A 3,608-nucleotide genomic window follows, 5' to 3' on the forward strand; every position below is an offset into this window, starting at 1 on the left:
GAAATGTAGACTCTCCTTGGGGGAGGTTTTATACTTAGTTACTGACTTTGCATTCGTTGACTTCATCTTTGAACATCTTACAGTTACGTAATTTGCTTTGACTCTAAGTGTAGAACAAGGAACTGTTCCTGAAGCAGAAAACTAAGGGTTGGTGACCTGCACTGTCACCCCTCTCCATGGTGCTCTGATGCAATAAAATTGTGAGCCAACAAATCCATGGATAGGTAAACAGTAAACCATTTCAGCAAATGTTTCAGATGCTCCTTCGTGCCTAGCAATGTGCTAGCTTTACCCCAGCCTTAACATTCTAAAGTTTATATTTTCCTTGGTGTTGTTTTTAAAATAATTCATGTATATTTATTACCATGGGTTTGTTGCTGTAAACTCCTGGGAATGAACTGTAGAATTAAGTTAAGTAAATAAATGTGTGATTCTCCATTGACTTATTGCTAACACCATCTTAAATATTTGACCCCAAATCCAATCACTTCTCACTCCTCTACTACTTTACCCCAGAGCCAATCCTCTCTAGGATAGTAAATCAGATGGGCCTTCCAGCTGGGCTGCCTGCTGCTTCTCACACCTGCTGTCCATCACCCATGCAACAGGCAGAGCGAGCCTTTCAAATGGGAATTACGGCACATCCTCACCATCACATCCCACAGACACTCCATCCTCTTCCTTTCTTAGTGCAATGAAATCCCAGTCTCCCACCATTTCCTACTAGCCCCTCAACACAGGGCATCTGTGGCCTCATCCCACTACTCTCAATAGAGCTTGCTGGTCTCCATTCACACCAGCCTCTTGTCACTGCTCTGTTCTTGTCTCTGGCTTAGAGCTACTTCCTGCTATGGTCCTTGGACTTGTGATGTGCAAGAAGTTCTCAGGTATGGGAGGGACTAGAATGATGGCTTTGCCCCATCTCACATGTAGGGATCCCGCTGCTCTTGGGGGATTTGCTGAGTCACTTCTCCCTGTTTCTGCTGGGGCTGGGGATGGTTAACCCAGTCAAGCCACACACCCTGAGAGGAAACCAGGTAGACAGGCTGACTGACAAGGAGGGCACTGCCTGTCAAGTGGCCAATGACCCCAGTCAGAAGAGGTGAAGGGTGAGAGAGGAGGCTGCTGGGAACCAGAAGCTTGGCAGCCAGGAAGACTGAGAACAATCAGGCTGACAGTAGAGGCCAGAGGTTGCAGACCCTGGGAGTCAGCTGTGCTGTTCACTCTAAGCCCCAGGGTGTGGGGGAGGGTCCTTTACACCAGGGAGCTTCAGGTCTCGTGACTGTTTCTGGGCTCTGTACTCTCCTGATCCTCCATGAGGATTTTAAACAGTGAGATAAGGTATCCAGGGCCCCAGAAATCTGAATTACCTTTACCAAAGAGATCATCCTTCCATTTCATTTCTTATAAGATATGAAATATTAAATCAAACTAATACAGGATTAATGTGAAGCTAGCAGGTGTTTTGTGGATGGATTCCCCTGGCTGTTTATACTGGGGGAAGAAACAGGCCTGGCCCCATTCACAGATGAGAACAATAGGGTAGCCATACTCAGAGGACCTCAATACTGGGTGCTCCCAACCCTGCAGGAAAGACCCTCCCTGCAAACAGATGTACAGGAGGGTGACTGCAGGATCCCATGCTGTCTCTTTCTCCTCTCCTGAATCCTGGGTTTACCTTCCTAATTTCAGCTAAGTAGCTATATTAACCAGTTATTTAAGACTCACAGGGCCCCTCTCTACCATGGCACCTAACAGGGTCTTCCCTCCTCAAAAGAACTTCAGGAGGGGTCTACTCAATAAAAAGCAGCATGGAAAGGGCGGTAGGGGCAGCTCATCTCTAACTCCTGAAATAGACAGGATGGAGCCACCGTCTCATTCCTCACTTATCCCATGGTCCTGCCTCAAATACAGTCTCCTCCTGCAGGCTCTGCTGGGTCTTTTTATTATCATTCTCCAGGTGGTGACCGGGTCCCTGATGCTGATGTGGTGCTCACAGCTTCCTGAAATATGACCCTTGGGGCCCAACACCAACAGGAGTTGAGGCCGGGGAGCAGCTTCAAGCTGTAGGGGATCTTTGGATTTGAAAGTAGGGGTTGGTCATGGGCTGTCTGTAATGCTCAGGGTGTCAAGGCTGAGAGTGGCTGAGCTGAATCTGCTCATTAGCATGTTCTCCACTGTTTGAGAGCTGCCTTGTGCAGACCAGCAAGACACAGATTGTTCACAGCTCCCCTTGTCTCTTGGAAGACCCTGACTTCTCTTTCCCCAGCTGTGCAGCTGATGAGCTCTATCTCCTCCCAAGCATAGCAAGGGGAGGATGGTGGGAGTGAGGCCCACTCCTCTGATGCCCCAGAACCCCTTCCACATAATCTCAATATCCAGGCCTGGTGTATCTCCCTGGACCATCATTTCTTTTCTGGGAATGAAAGGGTTATAATATCTGCCTCCTAGATTTCCCTTGTCACTCACTCACCCTGAATAGACTTCTTACTCTATTAGTTATTGTTCTCATATCATTTCTTTGAAGCTGTGGTAAAATATTATCAGCCATTAATAAAACATGGAGGTTAGGTTCTCTTTTTGGATTCTGAGGATCTGCTGTGCTGGGGCAGGGGCAGGTGGGGAGAGAAGGGCGGGTGGAGGGCCAGGTGCTGAGTGGTGTGTGGCCTCGCTCTGTGCTCAACAAAGCTCCTGCTGTGGTCATTTCCTGTTTATTTGTCTGGATCTCTCCTTGCATTGTGATTGGTGCCTGGTCTTTAGGGGTGGGTGCTGCTCCAGGTCGGAGGCCTCACACAACTCCAGGCTGAGCCTTTCTTCAAGTCCATGGAGGTCAAGGGCAGATACTGGCAGCTCTCCATCCTGCCCTCGCCTCCACTTTATCTGGCATATTTTTATATGTTGATCTGATCCTCCTCATAAGGGATGTATATGAGCATTATTTTGTAGGAGAGCCGCTATGTCCCACAGTGGCCATGCTCTGTCCCTGACACCAGGATCCTGTGTGCTTTGTTGTTGTCGTCCCCTAAAGACCCAGGACAGCCTCTGCACATGGGGCTTCTCAGATGACACAGATTGATCGTTCCCACCTCTGCCTTCTTTCCTGTTCCATTTCCAGAATGCTTCTATTGTTTCCCTTTTATTGTAGTAAGTCAAATTTTTGAATTAAGGCCTGGGCACACTCACTCACGCCTGTAATCTTAGCACTTTGGGAAGGCTAAGGCAAAGGGATTGCTTGAGGCCAGTAGTTAAAGACCAACCTCGGCAACATAACAAGACCCAGTCTCTTCCAAAACAAATTGAATTCGCATTGTGAATAGATATGTTATTGCCATGTCATAAATAAATTCTTGTCCCTTTTTCTGTGGGAGCACCCTGTGGTCTGGGTCCTGGCAGGAAAGAGATGGCACAGAAGGAAGACACGTTTTAAAGAGGTTCTGGCAGGGCTAAGAAAGTCACAAGGGGCACTGAAGCTCCCTGGGATGATCTGTAGCAGGAAATGGTTTGCATTTCTGAGCTTGAAAGAGCAAGGAAGGGAGCAGTTTCTAGAACTCCGGCAAATCTGTAGCTTTCACTAGGGGCAGCCCGGCATGCCTATGGCTGTGGATAGA

At 48.1% G+C, this 3,608-nt stretch overlaps 1 annotated feature.

The window, feature by feature from the left end:
- Window positions 2,263–2,955: an enhancer, noted in NCBI's record as "OCT4-NANOG-H3K27ac-H3K4me1 hESC enhancer chr6:29726920-29727612 (GRCh37/hg19 assembly coordinates)". NCBI's record gives its function as "activates a minimal SCP1, AML or CMV promoter by ChIP-STARR-seq in primed H9 embryonic stem cells {active_cell/tissue: H9 hESC(primed)}" and the evidence as "EXISTENCE:reporter gene assay evidence [ECO:0000049][PMID:30033119]".

This window comes from Homo sapiens, chromosome 6, assembly GCF_000001405.40.
Source record: "Homo sapiens chromosome 6, GRCh38.p14 Primary Assembly".
In the NCBI taxonomy this organism is placed as follows: domain Eukaryota; kingdom Metazoa; phylum Chordata; class Mammalia; order Primates; family Hominidae; genus Homo; species Homo sapiens.